The sequence below is a fragment of the Homo sapiens genome, chromosome 12 (genome assembly GCF_000001405.40).
Source record: "Homo sapiens chromosome 12, GRCh38.p14 Primary Assembly".
Classification (NCBI taxonomy): Eukaryota; Metazoa; Chordata; class Mammalia; order Primates; family Hominidae; genus Homo; species Homo sapiens.
In genome coordinates this window covers 11,991,701-12,018,389 of record NC_000012.12, presented here as the reverse complement: position 1 = coordinate 12,018,389, position 26,689 = coordinate 11,991,701, and the positions used below count along the sequence as shown (strand labels likewise).

The 26,689-nt window shown below is 46.1% G+C and overlaps 9 annotated features.

Annotated features, from left to right (window-relative positions):
• Window positions 6,153-6,202: an enhancer, noted in NCBI's record as "active region_6004". NCBI's record gives its function as "activates an Ori minimal core promoter by ATAC-STARR-seq in GM12878 lymphoblastoid cells {active_cell/tissue: GM12878}" and the evidence as "EXISTENCE:reporter gene assay evidence [ECO:0000049][PMID:35858748]".
• Window positions 6,763-6,912: an enhancer, noted in NCBI's record as "active region_6003". NCBI's record gives its function as "activates an Ori minimal core promoter by ATAC-STARR-seq in GM12878 lymphoblastoid cells {active_cell/tissue: GM12878}" and the evidence as "EXISTENCE:reporter gene assay evidence [ECO:0000049][PMID:35858748]".
• Window positions 7,276-8,156: an enhancer, noted in NCBI's record as "H3K27ac-H3K4me1 hESC enhancer chr12:12163168-12164048 (GRCh37/hg19 assembly coordinates)". NCBI's record gives its function as "activates a minimal SCP1, AML or CMV promoter by ChIP-STARR-seq in naive H9 embryonic stem cells {active_cell/tissue: H9 hESC(naive)}" and the evidence as "EXISTENCE:reporter gene assay evidence [ECO:0000049][PMID:30033119]".
• Window positions 8,073-8,122: an enhancer, noted in NCBI's record as "active region_6002". NCBI's record gives its function as "activates an Ori minimal core promoter by ATAC-STARR-seq in GM12878 lymphoblastoid cells {active_cell/tissue: GM12878}" and the evidence as "EXISTENCE:reporter gene assay evidence [ECO:0000049][PMID:35858748]".
• Window positions 8,143-8,262: an enhancer, noted in NCBI's record as "active region_6001". NCBI's record gives its function as "activates an Ori minimal core promoter by ATAC-STARR-seq in GM12878 lymphoblastoid cells {active_cell/tissue: GM12878}" and the evidence as "EXISTENCE:reporter gene assay evidence [ECO:0000049][PMID:35858748]".
• Window positions 8,143-9,037: a biological region, named in NCBI's record as "OCT4-NANOG-H3K27ac-H3K4me1 hESC enhancer GRCh37_chr12:12162287-12163167".
• Window positions 8,157-9,037: an enhancer, noted in NCBI's record as "OCT4-NANOG-H3K27ac-H3K4me1 hESC enhancer chr12:12162287-12163167 (GRCh37/hg19 assembly coordinates)". NCBI's record gives its function as "activates a minimal SCP1, AML or CMV promoter by ChIP-STARR-seq in naive and primed H9 embryonic stem cells {active_cell/tissue: H9 hESC(naive and primed)}" and the evidence as "EXISTENCE:reporter gene assay evidence [ECO:0000049][PMID:30033119]".
• Window positions 9,038-9,918: an enhancer, noted in NCBI's record as "OCT4-NANOG-H3K27ac-H3K4me1 hESC enhancer chr12:12161406-12162286 (GRCh37/hg19 assembly coordinates)". NCBI's record gives its function as "activates a minimal SCP1, AML or CMV promoter by ChIP-STARR-seq in primed H9 embryonic stem cells {active_cell/tissue: H9 hESC(primed)}" and the evidence as "EXISTENCE:reporter gene assay evidence [ECO:0000049][PMID:30033119]".
• Window positions 9,243-9,372: an enhancer, noted in NCBI's record as "active region_6000". NCBI's record gives its function as "activates an Ori minimal core promoter by ATAC-STARR-seq in GM12878 lymphoblastoid cells {active_cell/tissue: GM12878}" and the evidence as "EXISTENCE:reporter gene assay evidence [ECO:0000049][PMID:35858748]".

The following is a 26,689-nucleotide window of genomic DNA, read 5'->3' as shown; positions in this document are numbered from 1 at the left end:
CTGGCAGAGTGGTCCTATGTGTGTAGGGGACAGATTCCTCCATGTCAGCCACCACCTTGTGTTTAGTACGTTGCAGGGGCAGGGCACCCCTTCTCAGGGATATGGGATGGACAGCTGCTTCCTAACATCCTTTAGGAAGATTTTCTCTGGAAAATGATGGACTGAGACAGGAACACACTCAGGAAATAAGAAGGAGAGGTGGTTAAATACCTCACAGTTTTTGTTTTGTGGACCACACAGAGGTTTGAATGCTTGAGTTCCTAGCATTTACTCCCAATCCCTTTTTCTCTCTTACTTGCATTCTCTGGGGGCTTTTTAGGGTCTCTAATTAGCCAACTTCCGTTCCTTCCTCCTGCCCCCACCAGGGTCCCTCCACTGTGAGGTGCTGCAGACTCATAAAACTTGCGGCTTCACCGGGAGCTCGTGGTTCATTCTGGCACCTGGAAAGCCTGGGACCAAATGATTCCTGATTTCTGAGTTCTCCTTTGGTTCCAGAGGGCTCAGGGCTGTGGTGTAGAAGAGGGGCTCATTCTGGCTTGAGAAAACTCAATGTTAATTTTCAGGATTTTTGTGATCTAGTTAACATAACACTGGCCACTTGAAATTGGCCAAGGTAGGAGAGTATTTACACCATGGGAGTTAGCAAATGCTATGAATCAGGGCATTTTTTCGCCAGATACTTGGTTGTTAACCTTTTACCAGCATACTGCTTGCTAAGGGAGGGGTGCAGGATTCAGAGAAGTTTTTGGAGCAGCTCTTATTCAAGTTCCCAGAGACCCCCTAGAGCTCCCCAAGAAGGTCCAGTGGCCTAATACCCTAATTCCAGGCACCAACCTGTTTGGGTGTCAGATACCCTGGAAGAGACTGGCAGGGGAGCCAACACTGAGCGATACTCTGGGCTGGACAGTGACCAGGCTCCTTCTATCCCATGCTCCTGGCTCCCATCACCTGGTGTGACTAGGGAACCGCTCCAGGGCACAGCAGCCACATTCTTTAATGTGATGGAAAGGCAGGCCCGGGGCTCTGAGCCTGCTTGGAACTCCATGCCAGGACTCTCCTCTTTCCCTTCCTTATCTTTGGATGGCAATCACACAAGACCCAGATGTCAAACTGTCACTAATTTCCTAACCAAGGCATGTGGTGTTTGGCAGGCCCCCAGGCATCTGACTATGACTTTGAACCACCTTGACCTTGTTTGTGTGATCAGCCCCTGTAGACATTGTACATAGGCTCTGCTTCCTCCTACCCCTCCAAAACTTTCTCTCCCAACCGCCATCTCCAACTCCTCATGAACACAAATCACAACACAGCAAAACAAAAAAATTGATAAACCAACAAAGCAACAACAAAAACAAATGTAACTCCCCTCTAAAAGGGAAAACCACAAACAACATCCTCTCCCACCACCTCGGGGGGAAACTAACTTGCTGTCTTCCAGAAATGATAGAAACATGCTATTGAAAAAGCACTCAACACATGAATCATACGTCCTCCCACGACTTCATCTGCATGAAAACAGACAACTCATTTGCTTCCATCCCTAGTTTTCCTGCCCAGAAGTCACTATACTTTGGTGGCCTCAGAACTGGTTGCTCCGAGAGATGGCTGCTGGAGAAGATGCCAGGGGCCTGCTGGTACTGATCCCAGGAGAGGGGAAGGCAGGACAATGACTGAAGACCCACTCTCAGAGATGACCCGTGTGGTTCCCATGTCTGCAGTTTCTGATGGGATCAAGAGAGGGTGATGGACCTGCCCAAGGTCATCCTGGGAGTGAGTGCAGAAATGGGACAGAGTCAGAGTCTGTCAAGTCCTGAAGTTCCATTCCAGATGTTACAGTTGGCAGGGCTTAGACCAGGCTGCTGCCCTCACAGTACAGGCACATCATGCCCAAGGGAAATGAGGGCAGCTGAAATATCACTTTGCATGGGCAAGAGCCCAGCACAAGAATGGAATACTGTGTGTGGATGGGAATCCTACACTGAACCACCAGTCGCTGCCTTTCCTAGGAGTCAGATTTCTCCTCTGTCTCAGGAAGGGCTTGGACTAGATCAGGAATTGACAAACTGTGGCCCACACGCTAAATTGAGCCCACTGCCTGTTTTCGTCCGGCCAGTGGACTGAGAATGCCTTTTACCTTTTTAAATAATTGAGAAGGAGAGTAATGTTTTCATAATGTATGAAAATTATATGAAATTCACATTTTGATAACCATAAGTCAAGTTTGATTAGAACACAGCCATGGCCATTGTATTATGTATTGTCTATGGCTGCTTTTGTTGAGTGGTTGTGACGGAGACCGCATATGGCCCGCAGTTGAATATATTTACAGTCAGACTAGATGACTCTGCAGGCCCTTGCAGCTCTCACATTCTAGACAGGGTACTTTTAGGGGTCTTTCCATGGACCCTGTCAACCTTGACTATCCTTGTGAATTCTCCAGTGGTTTCTCAGTGCTTCTTCTGACCCCTTGTCTTGGTTGGTTTCTCGGCAGGGGGCACAGAAAAATGGGAAGAAGGTGATTCTGGACAGGGAAGAGAGAACTATTATGATTCTATTTTGATCAACCAAGAGCGAGATGGCTGCTGGTGTGTATTCTATTTTCCCCAGTGTCTCTAAAACTCACACTCATGGCAGAATTTCTAGTGGGCTTGAGACAAGGACCAGCCTCTGGGAAGGGTCTTTATCAGAGCAGACACTCAAGAGGGAAAAGACCATTTTTTTTTTCCTGAGTTTCCTGTTCTGCTCTATGCCTTTGTGTGTTACAACAGATCAGGAGACACGAATCTGGGCAGTTACGCAGCCAGGGAAGGGCCCTGGATGAAGTGCTGCCCTGCGGGGAGTGGGGTCCTGTGGTCAGCTCCTCCCAGCCCTGCTGCGTCCTGGACCCGGGCCTTGCTCTTGGACTCCCATGTCCTGTGCCCACTTGCTGTGTTCTGTGGCTGGGGCCTGTTTACTACACTCCACCAGCAGTCGTTTCTTTAACCATAGAGCTCGAGCCATTCTGAAAATTATTCCAACTACAACTTGTGGGCAGTTATTATGATGCCGCTGCTGCTGCTGCTGCTTGGTCCCTCTCGTCACAGGAAAATAAACAGGCAGACAGCTCGGGAGAGCCTGTGGCACAGAAGATGTGGTGATAGAGGATGGTGTGGGTGTGTGGTGGGCACAGGGAATTGTCTCCACCCACAAATGTGCAGCAAGGCCAAAACACAGCCCAGAGTTTCTTGGGCCACTTTCCTACCGATCTGGGAATCTCCTCTACACCTCACCTGACAAGGGGCCTTGAGTCTCAGCACTTTCCCTCCTCAAAAAGTGCTCTTCTTTCTTCAGTGACTGCTGTCATGGTCTCCTCACTCCCCACCCAGCCTGTCATGTATGTCTGATTCTCTCCAGGCTAAATGTCTCATTTGTCGTGATTTCTTTCTCTCGCTCTCTTTTTTTTTTTTTTGAGACATGATCTTGCTCTGTCACCCAGGCTGGAGTGCAGTGGCATGATCATGGCTCACTGCAGCCTCCAACTCTTGAGCTCAAGCGATCCTCCCACCTCAGCCTCCTGAAGAGCTGGAACTACAGGCACATGCCACCACACCTGGCGAATTAAAATTTTTTTTTGCAGAGACAGAGTCTTCCTATGTTGCTTAGGTTGGTCTCAAACTCTTGGGCTCAAAGGGATCCTTGCACCTTGGCCTCCCAGAGTGCTGGGATTACAAGCATGAGCCACCATATCTGGCCTCACTGGTCATGATTTCTAGATCCTCCATACTCTTCTTGCCCTTTTGGGGGCCCCTCCAAGAGACACCTCGGTGTGGTGGATAGAACCCAAGCTTTGCCAGGGGTTTGAATCCTAGGCCTTTGGAGAAATTACTGAAACGTGCTGAGCCTCTGTTTCCCCAGATTCAAAAGGAGGATAATAATTACTTTACAGCATAATTGTCATGACTAGATGAGATGAATGTACAGTATGTCTGGCACAAAGTCATCCCTCAATAATATTATTTATATGCCACTTCTGCCACATTTGTTTCCTTTAATGTAGCTGCTAGAATCTAACACACTATTCCAGACAAGGCTTGAACCATGATGAGTACGGTGGGCCCATTTGATCTCCTAATGCAGCCTAATGTGATCTTGGCTTTGGTTGTTGTTGGGGACAGTTACACTACTGGGAGGGCAAGTTGGGTGGGTGTCAAGATACCTGGGTTCCTTTCCAGTTCATTCATTCCTTTCCCATTAAATCTTCCTCCCACTGTGTTCCGTGCAGCAGGGATGCACTGGTGGAAAAAAGACAGCAGGACTCCAGTGAGACAGCCAGGCGGTGCACAGAGTGAAGTGCAGCATACAGTGCCATGGAGGGCCAAAAACTATAAAGAAAAATGAAATGCAACACAAAATAAAGCCGGCTGAGGGATTAGAGGGTTCGGGGGAATTCTGACACTCACCAGATGGGCAGCTGTGTAGAGCAAGGGGATTGACTCAGGTCTGTGTTTTCAAACAGTGTTCACTCAGAAGAGCCCCAGGAGTTTGGGAGGGTGCCTCAGGGGTCTTCATAAGATAGCAGGGAGGGGCGAATTGGTTGGAGGCTGACTTGTTAGACCCCTTTCCCTTACTCCTAACCAGAGCAGCACCTTTAAAAAATTTCTTTTACCGGCTGGCCACGGTGGCTCATGCCTGTAATCCCAGCACTTTGGGAGGCCGAAGCAGGCGGATCACAAGGTCAGGAGCTCGAGACCAGCCAGCTGGAGACCAGCCCGGCCAACATGGTGAAACCCCGTCTCTACTAAAAATACAAAAATTGGCCAGGCATGGTGGCATGCACCTGTAATCCCAGCTACTGGGGAGACTGAGACATGAGAATCGCTTGAACCTGGGAGGCAGAAGTTGCAGTGAGCTGAGATCATGCCACTGCACTCCAGCCTGGGCGACAGAACAAGACTTCATCCCCAAAAAAAAAAAAATTCTTTTACCTACAGGGCCTCTGCATGAAATTCCACTTGATGAATGTTATTGTTTGAAAAGAGCTTGAGACTCTCTGTATTGGATAGTCCTCTACGTTCTCTTCTAGCTCAAAGACTAGGAATTGCTAGGAGTTTTTCACCCGAACTGCTGCTGAACCACATCTTCCTCATTGTGCTAGTGATGGTGCTACTACGAGTGTAGCCTTTACACTAATTGGGTGTGTATTTTTACCTTCTTAGTTTTGGTCTATCCATCTCATAAGCCAAGACAATTTTGGAACATGAATTCTAGCATTCTACATATTAGTGATACTTCCCAGCTTTGGTTTTATCTGTAAATCTGTTTTGGGTACCTTTTTAATCTTTATCCAGGAAGTTTGTAAAAACATTAGGATAGGGCCCAGGGCTGAGACCTTTGGTTCTCTAATAGGGATCATCTTCCAGGTTGATCCAACCATAATCAATAGCCTTTGAAATGTATATGTTCAAATGGCTACAGACCCATTGAAGTATAATAGCATCCACCCAATATTTCCCCCTTTCATCTCCAGACCATCTTCTTTTCTACATGTATTTAATGGCCACTATCTGTCAAGGTCTGGGATTGACCTGGGAAAACAGGGTAAATAAGACACTGGGGTTCGCAGCTGGTAGACAAGATGGAAACAGAAAGTAGTCGTCATAGCAATGTAATGAGGGCTAAGTGGCAATTTGCACCAGGAAGCAAGGGAGGCCATGCCCAGCTTTGCTGGCAGTGTCCAGGAGGTTTTCTCAGTCAGTAAGATGTTACAGATGGTGTCATTCAAAAAGGCATCCATGAGAAATGTCCAATGCCATATGAAATCCGGGTGCGACCTCTCTGGCATCCTTCTGATCTAGGTATTCAATAAACACTTCTCGAATATAATTTGAAAAAGTAGGGAGCATCTAACATGCCAGGGAGCAGATGAAATTGAGGTTGGAGAGGATGGAGGCCAGTCTTTGAGGGCAGAGACAGCGGAAGGATAGTCATAGAAGTGGAAGTGGAGAGGAGAGATCCTAGGTGGCAGGAAATCAGGTCTAGGTATAATAATAAAATGAAGTGGGAGCGAGGCAGAGTAAAGAGCAATGCATCTCTCGAATCTTTGTGTCCTGGGCACCAGGGGGGCTGATGGTGTTGGTACTCAAGGGCGCGAGGAAGGAAAAAGAAGTTTCAGTTTCAGAGGCCTACAAGAGATTTAGTGGAATGTACGTTTTCCCATGCTCTTTTCCCTTCTGATTCTGACTTTGATTTCAGATCTCCTCTAGTAACTATTGAATTGAGAGAGGATGACTTCTAGGTATGCGCCAGGTGCAGTGGGAGATCTGTGATGCGCTCCGTCCTATCTCCCCAGGGAACTCTTATACCATGCAATGCCGTCTGCAGTTCTCAGTACCCTGGCTAGATCTGTTCTCAAGTTTGGCCAGTTTCTTTTTTTTTTTAATTTTATTAAAAAAATTATCTTATGTTTATTAAATTTTTTAAAAATTATTTTCTGGTTTTTAAATCATATTTATTATTTTTTATTTCTTGGCCACCGTTCTGACATAGAACGTGCAAGTGCCTATGCAAACCATTGTATCTGTTGCGGGGGTGACCAATTCATTTCGGTTTGCCTGGGACTTTCCCAGTTTTAGAAACAAAAGTCCTCCCTCCCCCGCCCCGGCCGCCCCATGAATCCCTTCGGTCCCAGGTAAAGCAGGACTGTCAGTGATCCCAGAGGTAGGTGAGGAGCTAGGGGCACTTGGTGTGCACAGCACATCCCAACTGGCACTGGGAAGGAAATGGAATTGCTAGAACAAAGTGCAGCTCCTAAGTCTTATATGTCCAGACTGAGGGGAGTGCCTGGGAGGCCGCAGGGAGGAGCCCAGGGCAGCTGTATGTGGGGAGTTGACCTCAGGTCAGAAGCGCATGGCTGGGCTTGGAGTACAGCTGTGGGCAGGCTGCAGTCGGTCCAGTCACCTCTCCTTGGGGGCTAAGCCAGGCCTTCCCTTTTCTGAGCTCTTGATTAATTTAATGGAGCAACTGAAAGAAGAAGAGGACACAACAAAGGATTGAGCTGGGCTCTCCACCTCTCAGGAGTTTCCTGGGAGCATGTTTTCCCCCAGGAAGCCTTCTTGTCACTGGAGGACATTGATTGTTGCAGGAAGCTGAGGGAATCGAATAGTCAGGGCAACTGTCCTCTGCAAAAACCCTGGGTCAATAAAACCAAAATGACTGCAAGATATCCTGAGAGAGGTGGGCAAAGAAGGCACGTGGATGATTTTTCCTCCTGCTTTTCCCAGCGTTTCTACACACACACACACACACACACACACACACACACACACACACACACGCGCACTTGGGGACAGGTATAGGATGGTTACATTTTGTCTCTCTTCACTTCCTATATGAAGCATAAGAAAGCATTTGGTAAATCTAGTCCTAAGTGTGTTGCCCAAGTCAAATCCAGCGACCCCCTCGCAGCCCCCTCCCCAGAGGTTACATAGTTCCCACAGGGTGCAAGAAAGGGTTATTGAAAACAGCAGGTTTATTTATTTTTTTTCCATAACTTCAGCACTTCTGGTAAATCTCTGATCCAGCATCTAGTGGTTAACCACTGATACAGGAAATGACATTTAACGTTTTTATCACTCAGCCAGAAATGGAAGAACAAGGCGAGTGTGTGTTTAGGGAAGATGGATGGCTGCCCACCACCTTCGTCTTAAAGGCACCCGGCTCTTTTTCTGATTGCAGGGGCTGATAGGCAGCTCACTTCCCCTCTGCCTGCTCGCTCCACTGACGACAATGAGTGGGAATGTCAGGAGAGCAGGAACCCAGGCGTTGTCAGCTATTGATGGGGGTGAAATGGGCAGCATTTGGTTCCCCTTTTTCAGGAGCCGTTGCATGGGGGGACAGGCAGGCCGGAAATGAGTTCGGATGCTCGTGTTCAGGCACATGGAACCACAGCATCAGCCTAGGGTGTCTGAACCCGGGAGGCCACGTGGCCGGGATGAGACTGTGAACAGAGCCCCACTGCCCATTGCTAAGCTGAGGACACTCAGCAGAGACCTCATTAACCCTCCAAGACAACCAGCCAAGCAAGAGTGTTGAGCACCGCAAACCACAGCGAGAGAAATTACAGCTGCTTTCACTTGCAGTTTTCCTTAGTCACCCGGTTGTTCCCCATTTCTTGCCTTTTGGGGATGAGGGGCTTTCAGTGCAGTTACTAAGTGGATTTCTTGTAACAACGGCAACAGTTATAGATAGTCACTCACTTTGTTAAGTGGTAAGTAGTTTAGATTCATGATGTTAACCTGCTCTAGGTCTAGAGCTGGTAAGTGGTATGGCCAGCCAGGATTTGAACCGAGGTCCATCTATGGCCAAAGCCAACCCTGCCCTCCAGACATCTGATAGCAAGTGCCGCCCTAGGCCCCACTGCCCTGCCCAGCCTTTTGCTGATTAAACAATCTCTTGGCTGGGTGCGGTAGCTCACACCTGTAATCCCAGCACTCTGAAAGGCCAAGGCGGGCAGATCACTTGAGGTCAGGAGTTCAAGACTAGCCTGGCCAACATGGTGAAATCCTGTCTCTACTAAAAATACAAAAAATTAGCCAGGCATGGTGGTGTGTGCCTGTAATCCTAGCTATTTGGGAGGCTGAGGTGGGAGGAGTCCTTGAACCTGGGAGGCAGAGGTTGTAGTGAGCTGAGATGACACCACTGCACTCCAGCCTGGGTGACAGAGCAAGACTCTGTCTCAAAAAACAAACAAAACAAAACAAAACCCTTGAGGTGGGTCTGGGCATCAGAGTTTTATGTTTCTTCAAATAGTTCTAGTGGGCAGCCAGCAATGAGCACCGCTGAGCCATGCTGTGATTTCTTGAGCTCAGAGAGCCAGCCGGGTTGGCCTTTGTTGCCAGTGCCCAGGGAACAACCCTTAATGTTTGTTACACAAATGAGTCTCTGATCGCTCTACTTTGGTCTGCAGGGCAAAACCTCTACAGAGAGGGAATAGAGGAAGAGATGAGTCACACCCATTGAGAGCCTGAGGGTTCTCAGCAGATTCTAGCTGTGAGTGCCCCTGGTGAAGTGGGGTAGGTAAGATCAGGCCAGGCATTGTTGGCAGAGACATTCTCATATCCGAGAATGAGAGCCCCACATTCTCGGATAACATTTCCCTTCTCTTAGTAGGAAGTAACGTGATCCCATTTTTATGAAAAGGATCACTCAGGTGCGAAATTGTCCTCCTCCTCCCACTCTCTGCATCCTGCCTGCAGATTCTTCACCCTGCAGATGTGCCTCTGTCAGCACTAGGAGGCAGGGTGGTTCGGGGCGAGCCCTGCCTGCTCTAGGAGGCAGGAGAGTTAGGGTGGGCGCAGAGGCCACCCAGGACGAGGCCAATTGCTCCTGGGGAGTCACGTATTGATTTCTGCTCTGCCTTGCTCTAGAGATTTGAGGCGAGGGCCACTCACAGTCTCTTGGAGCCTCAGTTTATTCATTCATGTACTTGTTCTGAAGAGGTGATAAAATTTAAAGTGTTTTGAAAAGAAAATTTATCCTTGCCTCCATGAAGAGGAGTAGATTGCTGTTTGACTTCCAAGCCTTTCCAACAGCGCAGAGTTGCATGTGGGTGGGGCTGGGCCCACAGCTCAGCTTTGGGGTTTTGTACCAGAGGGAGCTGGAGTCAGGGGGGAGGTGTGGGTCCTCCCTAGTGCAAGTTTCTTCTTCAAGACCCATCTCTTCCTCTCCATGCCCTCTCTGTAGAGTTTTTGCCCTGCAGACCAAAGTGGAATGATCAGAGACTCATTTGTGTAACAGACACTGAGGATTGTTCCCTGTGCACTGGCAACAAAGACCGTCTGGCTCAGTGGCGCCCACCGCTGGCTGCCCACTAGAATTATTTGGGGGAAACTTAAAAAACTCTGATGCCCAGATCCACCTCAAGAGATTTTTGTTTAATAGGCATTAGCATTTTTTTTAAAAAACAATGACTCTAATTTATTTTACAGGGAGTAGAGAACCACAGATCTAGATGGAGAGACAGATAAGTGGGAAAAAAAAAACCCACTATGATGCAGAGGATGATATGCTCTGGTTTTGGCAAATGCAAGTGGCTACGGCAGCACAAAGTTAGGGCCGCTCACCCAGCCCCGAAAGAGCTGTGAAGTAGGAAACATCACAGCCGAAGTCTCAAGAACAGGAATTAACCCAGGGAATCTGGCCTGATGGGGCCAAGGGTAAGGGGCGTGAGGTTAAGATGATTTCCAGAGAAAGCAAGATGAATTTTCTGAGTCCAGGAGTGAAAGGGAGACAGGCACTTGTATGGGACTGGAAGTAGTTTGGTATGGCGGGACAAAGCTGGCAGGGAAGCCTGGTGAGAGCCGGAGAGGAGACCAGAGGCCAGCTCATGCGGATATCGAAGCAACGTTAGGAAGTTCGGGCCTTATTCTAATGGTGGAAGGGAGCTGATGAAGAGGTATAAGCAGAGGAAGGACTGCCATCAGTTTTTCAGTGACAGGAAGGAAGACAGACGGGAGGAAGTTAGAACACGCTTCAGTGGTGGGTTCCAGAACTATGTTAGTGGTTATGGGGATAGCAAGAGGTGAGTGGATTTGGGAGATATAAGGACCTAGAGCCTATTAGACTTGGGGAGTAAAGTGGGAGAAAAGTCAAGGAGAATTTCCAGGTTTTTGTCCTGGGCAGCAGGATGGAGGATGATGCTCCTTCTCTGAGGCTCTGCATGTGTGTGAGGAGGATTGGCTCATGCTGCTCACAGAGCCCCAGAAGCTGGACAGGACTTGGTGGGGGGCTCTGCCAGCAGCTTGGGGTCCCCGGAACCTGTGCAAGTCTCCTGTGGGTGGCCCAGCCCTCCCAGAGCAACATGAGGGGACACGGGCTTTGGTGAGGTGATGAGGGCATTTCTGTATTCTTGGCTACTTTGCTAGTCTATTTGGATTTCCTGGGCATCCTTCCCACTCAAGATGCTCCTTTCCCCAATGAGACCAACCAGCCCCAGACACTGATGGAATCTCAAACAAACAGTAATGACCGATTTCCATTTTCTGTGACCTGTTACCTACTCCCCATTTTACTGCTCTTAGTCAAACCTTACGGCCCACGCCCACCCATAGAAGTCCTTTAATGACACAGACACCTAAAAATATCTTTTATTTTCCTGTTGACAAGTTCAGGTCTCTATAGACTCCTATGTCATCCCTGCCTCAGGGACTTACTGCCTCTAAACATTCTCACGAATTTCCTACCCCACACATTATGTGTCTCCCTCCCCACAATCTGTGATACCAACCTCAAAGACCACCACTGAGGGCTGGGCATGGTGACTCACGCCTGTAGTCCCAGCATTTTGGGAGGCTGAGGAGGGTGAATCACTTGAGGTCAGGAGTTTGAGAACAGCCTGGCCAACATAGTGAAACCCCGTCTCTACTAAAAATACAAAAATTAGCCGGGCCTGGGCAGGGCGCGGTGGCTCACGCCTGTAATCCCAGCACTTTGGGAGGCCGAGGTGGGCGGATCACGAGATCAGGAGATCGAGACCATCCTGGCTAACACGGTGAAACCCCGTCTCTACTAAAAATACAAAAAATTAGCCGGGCGAGGTGGCGGGCGCCTGTAGTCCCAGCTACTCGGAGGGCTGAGGCAGGAGAATGGCGTGAACCCCCTGGGGGACGGAGCCTGCAGTGAGCCGAGATCGCGCCACTGCACTCCAGCCTGGGCGACAGAGCAAGACTCTGTCTCAAAAAAAAAAAAAAAAAAAAAAAAAAAAAAGACCACCATCGAGGCCAACTTCAAAGACCGCCGCCCTCTTCCCTGCTTCAGAGCCCATCCCCACATTACTTTTGGACGATACTCTTCCTCTTGTGACCCCTCCTTTTGGTTCCATGTCTCTCCATCTCCTTCTCTGTGCCTCTGCCATCTACTCTTCTTGCCTGTTTGGGAGGCTTCTTTTCCGCCTTACCTGCCATCTCGTTATTTCACAAATATATCAAAAATTATTCTGTGAAGATGTCAGAGTTAGAGCCTATGACCTACTTTTAATCTTGATTATAAGGGTTGTTTAGTGTTTAATATGATAGCATAAGGAAAATGCTTTGTAAATAGTAAATCAAATACATTTTAGATAATGATAATGGCAACTGGCTTAGAAGAATCTCCGCTTGTTTAAAAATTAGGTGTGGCCGGGCGCGGTGGCTCATGCCTGTAATCCCAGCACTTTGGGAGGCCAAGGCGGGTGGATCACGAGGTCAGGAGATCGAGACCACGGTGAAACCCCGTCTCTACTAAAAATACAAAAAAAATTAGCCGGGCACGGTGGCGGGCACCTGTAGTCGCAGCTACTCGGGAGGCTGAGGCAGGAGAATGGCGTGAACGCAGGAGGCGGAGCTTGCAGTGAGCCGAGATCGCGCCACTGCACTCCAGCCTGGGCGACAGAGCAAGACTCCATCTCAAAAAAAAAAAAAAAAAAAAAATTAGGTGTAAATTACACCTAGAAACAAAGGTTGAAAAATAATGAGATTATATCTCTAAACTCCTGGAATGTGGTATCTACTGAGTCGATCTTTCATAATTCAGATTCTACACTGAGATGAAGTACTGGAAGATTTATGTAAAATTTCATTTGCCTCCTGTGCTTCTCTTGTCATTCATAAAAAAAATTTGCCCTGCAGACCAGACAAACTTTTGTACCTTTTTTTTTTTTTAACTGTTGTCTTCTCTACTTGAAATTCTTCAATCCAAGACACATACATTGGGTATCTTATTATATTCATTCATTCACTCATTTACTCGTCCATATCTACCGAGTCCTACTATGTGACAGACAATATACTAAGAACTAGGGATCCAATAGTGGGCAAAAATGGATAGGATTCATGCCCTTGTGAACTTGTAGTTTAAGGTTGAGTGTGGGGAGAACACAGTAAAATAGTCATACAAAACCCACAGAATACTTGCTGTGCTGAGGGCTACGCAGAAGTCCACAGTGCTATGAGAACAGACAAGCGGAGATTTGACCAGGGCGGGGGGGGGTGGGTGACAGGAACACTCCCCTGGAAGTGATGCTTCCCTGCTCAGATCTGAAGGATGAGGAGAGATTAATGAGGTGAGGGAGAGGGGAGGATGGGGGGTTTCAGGCAGATGCAAAGACGTGGAGAGAGAAGGTATACAGGTTTGAGAGACTGAAGTGGGACTTGAAAGCAGAAGGATCATGGCACCAACTGAGGCTGGAGATGGTCAGTCTGTGTGCGCTTTGAAGGTTGTGGCAATGATTTGTTGTTGTTGTTTTTTAATCGAGTAGAAAACCTCTGAAATATTTTAATCAAAATGGTGCTAGGTTTGCCTAAAGGAGGTTAAAAAATCATGGGCCCACTCCTTATCATCCATTCTCAAGGGATCTTGATTTATGGCAGGCATCAAATTCATGACCCAGTATGAAGCAATGGGTTAGTACTTTGATATAGAGAGTGTTACAGAATCTTAGGGAAGTGAGGTGTTTTTCTGGGTGAGGGATGGTCAGAGAAAGTTTTCAAAAAGGAGGTAATATTTGAGTTGGATGTTGAAAAATAGTAGGGGTTATCCATGTAATAAGAGGTGTGGGAAGGGCTAAACGTTCAGGGAGAAGAAGCGTGTTTTGGGAAGAAGGAATTACACAGGCATGAACGAGCACAGCAGGTTTGTATAAAGACCAAGCATGTGGTGTGGATGGAGACCAGGTTGTTCTGGGAGTCATTAGGGATGTTTGGCAATATTCCAACTCTCCTTCTTTCTGTGCATGTGGTAGCTTTGCACTTTTCAATAGACCTGAATTTAGATGTGGCCAATCAAAGTAAGCAGGAGGATGTCTCTCATTTCCAGGTGGGAGATTTAAAAGTGGGCACATTCTTTGCCACATTCTCTTTTTCTTTGACCCCTAACAATGTTCCAGAGAGTGGATGCTTTGTCAGATTGTGCCCTAGAGTGAGGACAATGGTGATGGAAGCAGGGCCACCAGATGACCTGCAAAGGACATGAAGAATGAGCAAGAAACTTGCCTGTGTTGTAAACCACTGAGATTTGGGGGCTGTTACTGCAGCACACTTAGTTTATCCTGACCAATACAGGGACCTGTCAAGAACTGTGAAGGAGACCAAGTGTGGTGGCTCATGCCTACAATCCTAGCCCTTTGGGAGGCCGAGGCAAGTGGATCACTTGAAGCCCAGAAGTTGGAGACCAGCCTGGGCAAAAGGACAAAACCCTGTCTCTACCAAAAAATACAAAAAATTAGCTGGGCATGGTGGCACGTGCCTGTAGTCACAGCTACTTGGGAGGCTGAGGCGGGAGGATCACTTGAGTGCAGGAGGTAGGGGTTGCAGCGAGCTGAGATCGCGCCACTGCCCTCCAGCCTGGGCAACAGTGAAACCCTGTCTCAAAAAAAAAAAAAAAAAAAGAACTGTGTGAAGATGAAGGGTCTGGGATTTCTCATTGTATGTAAGCTAACAAGCTAGCCTGCGGCAGTTACTTGCATGCATGAGATCCCTGAGTTAGAGACAAAGGATTTTTATTACTCACACAAAAAAGCAGGATGAGATTCCTTTTTGCATTGGGTTTCTAGCCTTCTAAGTCCACTGTAGCAATGCAGCGGCCCAGATGGATGCTGTACCCAGTGGGTTTGTGTTACAGCTAAGAAACCCCACACGTAGGAAACCCCAGTGTTGTATAATGGGCGGCAAGCAAATCCACTGAACCTTTTCCTGGAGGGAGATACTATCTTTACTAGAAAGCGAATAAACCTTCCCTCTGCTCTGGAGAGAATCACTGTCTCTATTTTCCAAAGCTGTTCACTACACAAACATTCTTGAAAAGATAGCCTGGAATAAAATTTTTCAGTGCTTCTTTTTGCAAGAAGTACAGAAATGAGAGACCCATGGAGAATTGTCTCTCAGCAGCATCTTTGGGTAAGTGGAGGACAATAAATGGTAAAAGACATTTGGAGCCAGATTGGGAGGGATTTTATAGACTATGACAGGGAGCTTGGATTTTTATCCACTACTCAATGGGAGCCATCAATCTTCTAAAACATGTCCTGTGGAGAGAAAAGGATGGATTGAGGATGGGGGATACTGGTGCTAGGAGAACAGTTGGGGCTAAAGATGTAGGTTTGGGAATTTTAACATAGAGAAGGGAGTTGAAGGCACTGGATTTCATCTCGCTTTGGATAAATTCTATAACCTTAAAGCTCACACCAAAGGACATCTCATTTAGTAGTTTCAAAATATTGTAGCCAGGCATGGTGGCTCACATCTGTAATCCCAGCTACTTGGGAGGCTGAGGTGGGAGGATCACTTGATTCCAGGAGGTTGAGGCTGCAGTGAGATTACTGCACCACTGCACTCCAGCTGCCTGGGCAAGAGTGAGGCCTCATCTCTAAAAAATTATTTTTCAAAAGCAGTGGCTTTTTGTCAGAGAAGTCTAATGCCACCTTCCAACAAATAAAACAGATGGAAGCAGCTGTGCTTTGGGTGAACAATAATTGGAGATCTGAAGCCCTGCCTCTCAGCTCCCCACTTCCCCAGCAGACACCTGGAGACTCCTCTCTGGAGCCCTTGGGGTCCACAAAACACACTTTGAATCTACTTTTTATTTTCACCCCCGATTGGAGCAGGCAGGATTAACTGCTCCCTCCTCTCTGTTTCTTTCAACACTTTGATCTAATCATCGAAGCAGCATTTATCACCTTGACCCACGTTTGCAGAAAGCATCCTGAATGTCATCTCTGCATTCCCCAGGGCCCAGTTCAGTGCCTGTCATACTTCGAGAAGATTCTCAACCAGTGTCTGCTGAATTGATACAAAAAAACTCATCAATGAAATAATTTCTAGAATTACAGTTTTTGTAAAGCTTTGCAATTTACATTTCATTAAATATAATAGACAATCTTTGAGACCTCATGAAGGACAAATAAGAATCAAGGAAATAATGAAATAAAACAACTTCTATATGAAACAGTTATATGGAAATGGCTTTAGCTTGTCTAATGTATCAACAAATGCTTATTCAAGCAATAAAGAGCTTTTTTTTTTTTTAAGAAATGTGACCACAGTCCACATAAATACCATCCTGCAAATTGGTGTGAGAGGATTGCCAGGTCTTCCTCAGGTGTGTAAATCCATTTCGATACCTGTGCTTCATTAGGCAAGGAAGGAGAGCTCCATGTTTACTCTGCTACCTTATGTCAGCAAAATATTTACTTTTGAGAAGACAGAATAAATAAAACAGCTAGGCAGGGTGGCTCATGCCTGTAGTCCCAGCACTTTGGGAGGTCAAGGCGGGCGGATCACTTGAGCCTAGGAGGTTGAGAGCAGCCTGGGCAATATAGTGAGACCCCATCTTTACAAATACTTTTTAAAAAGTCAGCTGGGTGTGGTGGCACACACCTGTGGTCCAGCTAGTTGGGAGGTTGAGGTAGGAGGATTGCTTGAGCCCGGAAGGTTGAAGCTGCAGTGAGTTGTGATTGCGCTACTGCACTCCAGCCTGGGTGACAGAATGAGACTCTCCCCCTACCACCACCAACAAAAAAGAGAATAATTAAAACAAAAACAACGATAAAGTTGAACATGTTCATCCAGCTGTTATGTCTGTTTGGAGTTAATATGATTTGGTAAAAACAACAGTTCTTGAGTCCCCGAGTACCTGGCGTTTTCATGGGCTTTATACTTGCTAGTGAATCAATCCTACAGACATTTTTTTTTCTTTTTTTTTGAGACGGAGTCTCGCTCTGTCGCCCAGGCTGGAGTGCAGTGGCACGATCTCAGCTCACTGCAAGCTCCGCCTCCCGTGTTCCCGCCATTCTCCTGCCTCAGCCTCCCGAGTAGCTGGGACCACAGGCCCCCGCCACCACGCCTGGCTAATTTTTTTTTTTTTTTTTTTTTTTTTTTGGGATGGGGACAGAGTTTTGCTCTGTTGCCCAGGCTGGAGTGCAGTGGCGTGATCTCAGCTCACTGCAACCTCCGCCTTCTGGGTTCAAGCAATTGTCTGCCTCAGCCTCCCGAGTAGCTGGGATTACAGGAGCCCGCCACCACGCCCGGCTAATTTTTTGTATTTTCAGTAGAGACGGGGTTTCACTGTGTTAGCTAGGATGGTCTCGTCTAGTCTCTCCTGTCTCGTGATCCACCTGCCTTGGCCTCCCAAAGTGCTGGGATTACAGGCCTGAGCGACTGCGCCCAGCCAATCCTACTGACTTTTAAGGTAAAAAACACAGTGGGTAGGATTTCCGCTTATCTTGTTCTGGTTCTGTTCTGGCCACTGTCTGTCTGTCTGAAAGAGGGTCAGCCCTGAGTTTGCGTGAGGAGAGGGGGAGGGAGAAACGCAATATCCCATTGAAGATGAGTTCAGGGTTTGTAGGGCTGAAATTTAGACAATTTTTGGAGGCCTCTATAAGTAAAAGCATGCAAAATTAGTTATGAAAAGTGAGTATTTAGAATAAGAACAGAAATTGTAACAATATACAAATCATCGGACACCTATATTTAAAAAATATTTTTTACTTTATTTTAGCTATATACTTTTTGATTATGTTTTTCTATGACAGCAATTTTGTGTGATTTTCTGTGTAGAGAATGGAAAGATTATTCAATCTTATCAAGCATGATTGATAAAAAATTTATTTTTATTATTGATAGCTTATAAAAATTTTTTCCAGCTTCACAACTTATGATTGGTAATGCCAAGAAAATATTTAGCATTTGTCAAATTTTGGCAAACCACTATCTACTTTCTTTCTGAGGAGACCTGTTAAGATCTCAGGGCATTTGAGATTTTCTCGTGAATTTCTATCTTAAATACTCTTTGAACTGATGATATTCATGTCCTCATTTTCGTGGTATAGTATGAATTTTATGTTAGCTTCATTGATGCCAGTATTTGGTGTCATCAGCAAGAAATTTAAATCTTTTCCTATGTATTTTTATGATTCACTCATTGGATTATCAAATAATCCAATAATTTATTACTTAACATGATTTCTATTTGAAATGTGTCCCTTCTCTTTCTCTTAATGAATCACTTCTTGCCTTTGGTATAATCTAATTTTCTTATTGTAATTTGCTTCTTGATGTTAGAATAATATCTATTGATTTTATTATTCGTCTTTATTGCTTTTATTTTACATTTCATTATTTTTTAATCTGAATGTTCTCATAGTTCTTTGATAAATTTATTAAACTTTAATCAGAAGGTCATAACTCCTCATTTGATTTATTAAAACATCCAAAACATTTTTGGGTATTGGAAGGAGGGAAGGAACAGGTCGGATTAGGATCTTAACCCAGCACAAAGGTTGAGCCAGAGAAAGCTTGCTGCATTGGAGCCAGGATGGCCTGGGGAGACCAGGCAAGGGTAGGCAGAAGCCGGGGGTGTTACTTTATGAAGATTTGAAGAAGGGGAGAGACAGCTAATTTGGTTGGAATTGCTGTAACTTCATCAAACCCACCCAAGGAAAAGGAGTATCAGGATGGGAAACTCAAGAAGAGGATGGTCAGGCCAGAACTGGAGCAAGGTAGAGTCTCCTTAGAAAATAACAAGGAAGACCAGCCTGGGCGACACGGCAAAACCTCATCTCTACAAAAAAATACAAAAATTGGCCGGGCATGGTGGCTCATGCCTGTAATCCTAGCACTTTGGAAGGCTGAGGCTGGCAGATCACTTGAGGCCAGGAGTTTGAGACCAGCCTGGCCAACATGGTAAAACCCCATCTCTCCTAAAAAAAAAAAAAAAAAAAAAATACAAAAAATTAGCCAGGTGTGGTGGCATGTGCCTGTAGTCCCAGCTTCTTGGGAGGCTGAGGCATGAGGATCGCTTGAACTCGGGAGGCAGAGGTTGCAGTGAGCCAAGATAGCACCACTGTACTCCAGCCTGGGCAACAGAGTGAGACTCTGTCTCAAAAAAACCCCTACAAAAATTAGCTGGACATGATGGTGCAGGCCTGTAGTCCCAGCTACATGAGAGGCTGAGGCAGGAGGATCACTTCAGCCTGGGAGGTCGAGGCTACAGTGAGCTGTGATTGAGCCACTGCACTCCAGCCTGTGCAATACAGCAAGACCCTGTCTAAAAACAAAAAAAGTAACAAGGATACTTTAGAGAAGAAAAGAAGCAAATCATGGAAAAGGCCTGGCTGGTCGGGAAGCCATGCAGGAACACTAGTGCCCCAGGCAGACAGTTAGGCTAGAGCATATTCAAGGTGGGAAGAAGCACCAGGATTCCTCCAAAAGTCAGGGGGCTGGCTGCATTGCAGTCAGTGTGTCTTGGTGGTGACTGGTGAGTTCTCCTCAGGCAGCCCCAGGTTGGAGAAGATGCCTTCCTTCCCCAGGGGACCATGACTAATAGGGGATCCTAAATTCTCCCCTAAGGCAAATCAGCTGGAATTTTCCCAAGCAGATAGAAATATTTTGAAAAGAGGCAACATTGATTGAATTTTGGAGCCAGAAGGACCTGGGTTTGCATTTATCAGAGGCATTCAAACCAGAACGACTCCATCTTGAATAGGAGCTGGGTATAATAAGGCTGAGACGTACTGGGCTGCAATCCCAGAAGGTTAGGCATTCTTAGTCACAGGATGAGACAGGAGGTTGGCACAAGACACAGGTTACAAACACCTTGCTGATAAAAACAGGATGTGGTAAAGAAGCCAGCCAAACCCCACCAAAACCAAGATGGCGATGAGAGTGATCTCTGGTCGCCCTCACTGCTCATTATACACTAATTATGATGCATTAGCATGCTAAAAGACACTCCCACCAGTGCCATGACTATTTACACATGCCATGGCAATGTCGGGAAGTTGCCATATATGGTCTAAAAAGGGGAGAAAGCCTCAGTTCTAGGAATCACCCACCCCTTTTCCAGAAAACTTATGAATAATCCACCCCTTGTTTAGCATATAATCAAGAAATAGTTATACGTATAATCAGTTGGGCAGCCCACACTGCTGCTCTGCCTATGGAGTAGTCATTCTTTTATTCCTTTACTTTCTTTTTTTTTTGAGATGGAGTCTTGCTCTGACTCCCAGGCTGGAGTGCAATGGTGCGATCTCAGCTCACTGCAACCTCCACCTCCTAAGTTCAAGCAATTCTCCTGCCTCAGCCTCCTGAGTAGCTGGGATTACAGGACTGTGTCACCATGCCTGGCTAATTTTTGTATTTTTAGCAGAGGCGGGGTTTCACCATGTTGGCCAGGCTGGTCTCAAACTCCTGACCTCAGGTGATCCACCCACCTCGGCCTCCCAAAGTGCTGGGATTATAGGCGTGAGCCAGTATTCCTTTACTTTCTTAATAAACTTGCTTTCACTTTACTTTATGGATTCACTTAGAATTCTTGTGCGAGATACAAGAACATTCTCTTGGGGTCTGGATCTAGACCCCTTTCTGGTAACACTTTTTAACTATGCAACCTCTTACCAGCTGTTGTCCTTAGCTAAGATCCTCAATGTCTAGATATCTAACTCCCACCTCTGCAAAAATGGGGATAATAGTGTACACTTTTTTGGGCAGACAGTACATAAATCTTACAAAATAATATGAAGAACATAAGAAATTCCATAGTTATGTAATTCAGAATAGATGTGGATGTTAAAAGTGTTATGGATTTTTTAAATGTCAGATTTATTTGTCATAATTTTGCTGTATTTTTGTTACTTTTGTTCTTATTTTCCAAATAAAGAAAATAAAGGTTGACTTAGACAGATCTCAGAATTCTCAATTTCTACCTTGGCCTGTTTGCTTGACTGCCAATGCTGTGTGTGTTTTACACACACACACACACACACACACACACACACGATGGATATCATCAAGAAATAGCACCAGAATCTTTGAACTAATTTCAGAGTTTAAAGCAGAAAATATCAGAGTTCTGATCCTCCCAACGTTTTTTTGTTCAGTACTTTAAAATAGATATATTTTTGTGATATTGTGAAATATGTGTATATATATAATATCCTTTATAACGAAAAAAAAAATATATATATATTTTGAGACAGGGTCTGGCTCTGTTGCTCAGGCTAGAGTGCGGTGGCATGATCTCAGCTCACTGCAACCTCCACCTCCTGGGCTCAAGCGATTCTCCTACCTCAGCCTTCTGAATAGTTGGGACTACAGACGCATGCCACCACAACTGCCTAATTGTTGTATTTTTTATAGAGATAGGGTTTTGCCATGTTGCCCAGGCTAGTCTCTTGCTGGGATTACAGGCGTAAGCCACTGCACTCGGCCTATATTTGGTTTTATACCAGATTCCTGGCGTACAACTTCTAAAATCCTTAGAATTTTTATTTTTATTTTTATTTTTTTTAATTTTGAGATGGAGTCTTGCTAGGTCACCAGGCTGGAGTACAGTGGCGCAATCTCGGCTCACTGCAACCTCTGCGTCCCAGGTTCAAGTGATTCTCCTGCCTCAGCCTTCCAAGTAGCTGCGACTACAGGCATGTGCCACCACACCCAGCTAATTTTTGTATTTTTAGTAGAGATAGGGTTTCACCATGTTGGTCAGAATGGTTTCGATCTCTTGACCTCGTGATCCACCCACATTGGCCTCCCAAAGTGCTGGGATTACAGGCGTGAGCCACCACGCCTGGCCCAAATCCTTAGAATTTTTAAAGTGATGTCTTTTTGTATGCTACCGATTGACTGGTGGCTGGCAGCTCCAGGATGAAGGCTGGTCACCACAAAGACTGAGGCAGCATTAGCATTAGAGGGTGGGACTTTCCTTCCCATGCCCCAACCTCAGGGAGGGGGAGTGGCTGAAGGTTAAGTTGATCACCAATGGCCAGTGGTTTAATCAATCATGCCGACCTAATTAAGCTTCCATAAAAACCCAAAATTCCTGGTTTGGAGAGTTCTGGATAGCTGAACACATGGAGGTTGCTGGAGGGTGGCATGCTGGGGAGGGCATGGAAGCTCCGTGCCTCTTCCCATACTTCTCCCTGTGCATCTCTTCATCTGTATCCTCTGTAATATCCTTTATAACGAACCAGCAAATGTAAGTAGGTTTCCCTGAGTTCTGCGAGCTGCTCTAGCAAGTTAATGGAACCCAAAGAGAGGGTTGTGGAAACTCCAACTTGAAGCTGTCAGAAGTCCGGGGGACCCGAACTTGTGACTGGTGTCTGAAGTGGGGGGACAGTCTGTGGGACTGAGTTCTCATTTTGTGGGATTGTCAGAGGTGTTTGAACTAGAGCAACTCCATCTTGAATAGGGGCTGGGTAAAATAAGGCTGAGACCTCCTGGGCTGCATTCCCAGTAAATTAGGCATTCTCAGTCACAGGATGAGCTAGGAGGTCGCCACAAGACACAGGTGATGAAGACTTGCTCATAAAACAGGTTGCAATAAAAAAGGCCAAAAACCACCAAAACCAAGATGGCAAAGAGATTGACCTCTGGTTGTCCTCACTGCTACACTCCCGCCAGAGCCATGGCAGTTTAGGAATGCCATGGCAACGTCAGGAACTTATCCTATATGGTCTAAAAAGGGGAGGCATGAATAATCCACCCCGTGTTTAGCATATCATCAAGAACTAACAGTAAAAATGGGCAGCCAGCAGCCCTTGGGGCTGCTCTGCCTATGGAGTAGCCATTGTTTCATTCTTTTACCTTTTTTTTTTGAGACGGAGTCTCGCTCTGTCCCCAGCCTGGAGTGCAGTGGCGCGATCTCGGCTCACTGCAAGCTCCGCCTCCCGGGTTCACTCCATTCTCCTGCCTCAGCCGCCCGGAGTAGCTGGGACTACAGGCACCCACCACCACGCCCGGCTAATTTTTTGTATTTTTAGTAGAGATGGGGTTTCACCGTGTTAGCCAGGATGGTCTGGATCTTCTGACCTTGTGATCCGCCCGCCTCGGCCTCCCAAAGTGCTGGGATTACAGGCGTGAGCCACCGCGCCCGGCCGCTTTCACTTTTTAGATTTGCCTCGATTCTTTCTTGCGCGAGCTCCAAGAACCCTCTCTTGGGGTCTGGATCGGGGCCCCTTTCCGGTAACAGGATGGGATGCTATCTTCAGATAGATAGCATTGGCATTGAATTGAAGGACATGCAGCTTGTGTCCGTGTTGTTTGTTGCGTGAAAGCAGAGGAAAAGCAGTTTGTGTGTTTTCTCTTCTGAATTTTACTGACACAATGATTCTTTGATTTTGGAAAGGATTCTGAGTTCTCTGTGCACTGACGCTCCCTGGCTATGATTTCTTGGATTACTTCTTGAATTTCTTTGATTATTTTCCCTTATGTCATTATTTGGATTTGTTCTTTTGATGTGTTCTGCTGCAATGTAATCGTAAGTTCAGCTGCAAGACGTCAGGTGCCCCATCCTTCACGAGGAAGAGGCGAACACAGGCTCTTGGAGTTAAAGCTGATAAGATGCGTGGGGCCAGGTGGGAAGGAGCCTTGTTCTCTTTCCTTGGCTCCGTTGTGCATTCTTACTCTCCACCTTGCCAGCATGTGTGAGGTTTCTTTAAATCCTGTTTGTGATTATCTCACCTTGAGAAAGTAAAGGAAAAGGAATACAAGTGCCAATTTGGAAGGATTTGGATGTATCAGACCAGGAATTTCCCACAGAATATTGTTATTGTTACTCAACTTTTGCCCTTGGAGAAAGGTGAAGGAAAAGCCACGTTGATCATGTTAGGTGTATATGTGTATGTATATATATAATTTTTTTTTTGTAACTTTTGCGACAGTCTCCCTCTGTTGCCCAGACTGGAGTGCAGTGGTGCTGTCGGCTCACTGCAACCTTTGCCTCACAGGTTCAAGTGATTCTCATGTCTCAGCCTCCCGAGTAGCTGGGATTACAGGCGTGCACCACAACACCTGGCTAATTTTTCTATTTCTAGTAGAGACGGGGTTTCACCATGTTGACAGCCTGGTCTTAAACTCCTGACCTCAGGTGATCCTCCTGCCTCGGCCTCCCAAAGTGCTGGGATTACAGGCAGGAGCCAACATGCCCAGCCAGGTGTAGATATTTTTTCTTCTTTTTCAAAAAAATTTGGAATTAGAGACGGGTCTCACTAGGTTGCCCAGGCTAATCTTGAACTCCTGGCCTCAAGCAATCCTCGCACCTCGACCTTCTAAAGTACTGGGATTACAGGTATGAGCCAATGTGCCTGGCCAGGCATAGTCATTAAGTATGATTTGGTTTGGAAATCAACAGTGTTCATTTAGCAGTTATTTTGTCTGACTTTCTAAGACCTCAGCCCCTCCAAAAATTCTCTTCTGAAGGCACAGGAATCTCAGGACAATACACTAGCACAGCCAATAACAATTAGTTCTCAACTCCTCTGCCTGGATCTTAAAAAGAAACTAGCCAATGAAGGGCAGGTCCCCATTCTGATCTCATGGCCATGGAGAGGGGGATCAGCTGTTTCCTAGCCATCTGGATGAGTGGGAGCACCCTGAGAGTTGTAAGTCCTCCTCAGAGTGAGTGCTTTGGTGCATGTCTTGTTTAGCTGGATGATAATTTGAGACCTAACCTGATATTTACAATTTCCATCATAAAAGAAAGGCAAGAAAAAAAAAAAAAGAGGGGACTGTCTTTCAATTGCCAAGTTATACGTTAAGGGAGGTAATGAACATCCTCATGCTTCATTCATCCTGAGCAAGAAATATCAGATTGGAGGAATACGCTGCATTGGGACCTAGAGTGGGAGAATAGAGTGATGGCTTCTCTATCTTTTCCTTTGCTGTGTACAGTCCCCAATAACCCTATCTTTCTTAAGTGGCTAGTGTAGAGTGGCCAACTTAATTAAAACACACAGGAGGACTAGGGAGGATTTGGATAAGCCATTGTCACCATGGGGGCCATATGAGAATGTGGATGACTAATAGCAAAACTGTCTCCACAAATGTGGAGAACACACCTCCTGCCAATGTTGGATTAACTGAATGATCTCTGGATATTGAGAGATGCATCGTAATTACTATTAATAAGAATAAAATTAAAATGACAGTAAGCAATACATTGGCCTCCCATCAGGATTTCTTGTTCTGAAAATAGATGTCTCCTACAGAAGGCTGAAACAAACTGGAAGGAGCCCCTCCTCAGGTGATAATGTGACACCTTCCTTGGCCATGTGAATAGTGAGCACATGCTTGGAAATTTAAAATGGAAAACAGAGAACATGTGACTGGTCTCATTCTGACCTGTGGTTTTTTTTTTTGCCATATCATGTCTTATCAGACAGGATGCTTTCTTTAGCACTCGACAAAAGCAGTCCTACCCCAAATAGCTTAGGCAAAAAGGGAATTTATTATTCATGTGATGCTCTGGGCCTGGGGGGCTGCTTGTTTTCACATTGCTGCCATCATGCCCCCTTTCTATGTATGTCATGACCCTAGCCACCTTCATCTTGGCCTTATTCTCAGAGTCTCTTCCTTTGGGGTCACGGTGGCTGCACAACTCCACGCTCACCTCTTCTCACCTTCAAGTCTCAGGGGAAAACATATCAGGTCACTTTTCCAGAAGTCCCAGCAAAAGTTCCATTTCATCTCATTGGTGCTATTGCATATTATGGGTGCTATTGGATTATTGCAGAGAATGCAGCGCTTTGACTGAGAGAAGGAGAGGTAGATTCTTGTGAGGGCTGATTTTAGGTGTTAACTTGACTGAGCTAAGGGATGCCCAGATAGCTTGCAACACATTATTTCTGGGTGTGTCTGGGAGGGTGTCTCCAAAAGAGATTAGTGCTTGAATCAGTAGGCTGAGTAAAGAAGATAATCTTCATCAGTGTGGGCAGGCATCATCTCATCTGTTTGAGCGTTCTAATAAAACAAAAAGGAAGAGGAAGGGCAAATTCACTCTCTCTCCTTGAGCTGGGACATCTGTTTTCTCCCGCCTTTGGACACTGGAGCTCCTGGTTCTCAGTCCTTTGGACTCTAGGAGTTACACCAGCAGTCCCCACACCATTCTCAGGCCTCTGGCCTCAGACTGAATTACCATTGGCTTTCCTGCTTCTCTAGCTTGCAGACAGCAGATGGTGGGACTTCTCAGTTTCATAATCATGTGCGCTAATTCCCATAATAAGTCTCTCTCTCTCTCTGTGTGTGTGTGTGTGAGTGTGTGTGTGTGTGCCCACTCAGTTTTCCTGGACAACTCTGACTGATATATTCCTGAAACAAAAGTCTTTAGCTGTAGGCAAAAAAAGGTAGAATGGATGTTAAGGAGGCAAATGTCAGTTGTCCACTCTATCTGTAACCTCAGTAGTCACTAGTTTTAGGCTCTTGTTCTCTGAGATCCTCCCGCTGTCTTGTCTGTAATAAGTTCGGAACACGTGGGTAGAAGAGAATATACCGGGCTCCTTCCTGAAAATTTGTTGGAAGCTGATGAACTCCAAAGTCCTGCCTCTCTCTTGGGTAAACAGCTGCCTGGAGGAGAGAGTTGGTATAAACAGCAATTTTATATGTGCAGTTGAAGCATGGGGAGAAATATAGGCTCATGGGTCTTCCTGAACTATCAGGCACATAAGAATAATTAGTGTTCAAATAATCTTGCCTCTCAGCGGATGCTTGCTGGATCATCACAGATCCCGATTTTATCATCTGACCGTTCCCAGACCAGTAAAAGCCTGTGCCTTTTTTCCCTTCCAATCTGTGTCCCCAGATGAAAGCCTAGGAGCCACAATACGGTGTCTGGTGATGACTTTATCAACTAGGAATCTGGCAAGGGATCTGCTTTCTGGTTAGATAGTAAGAAAGCTTCAGGCCATTTG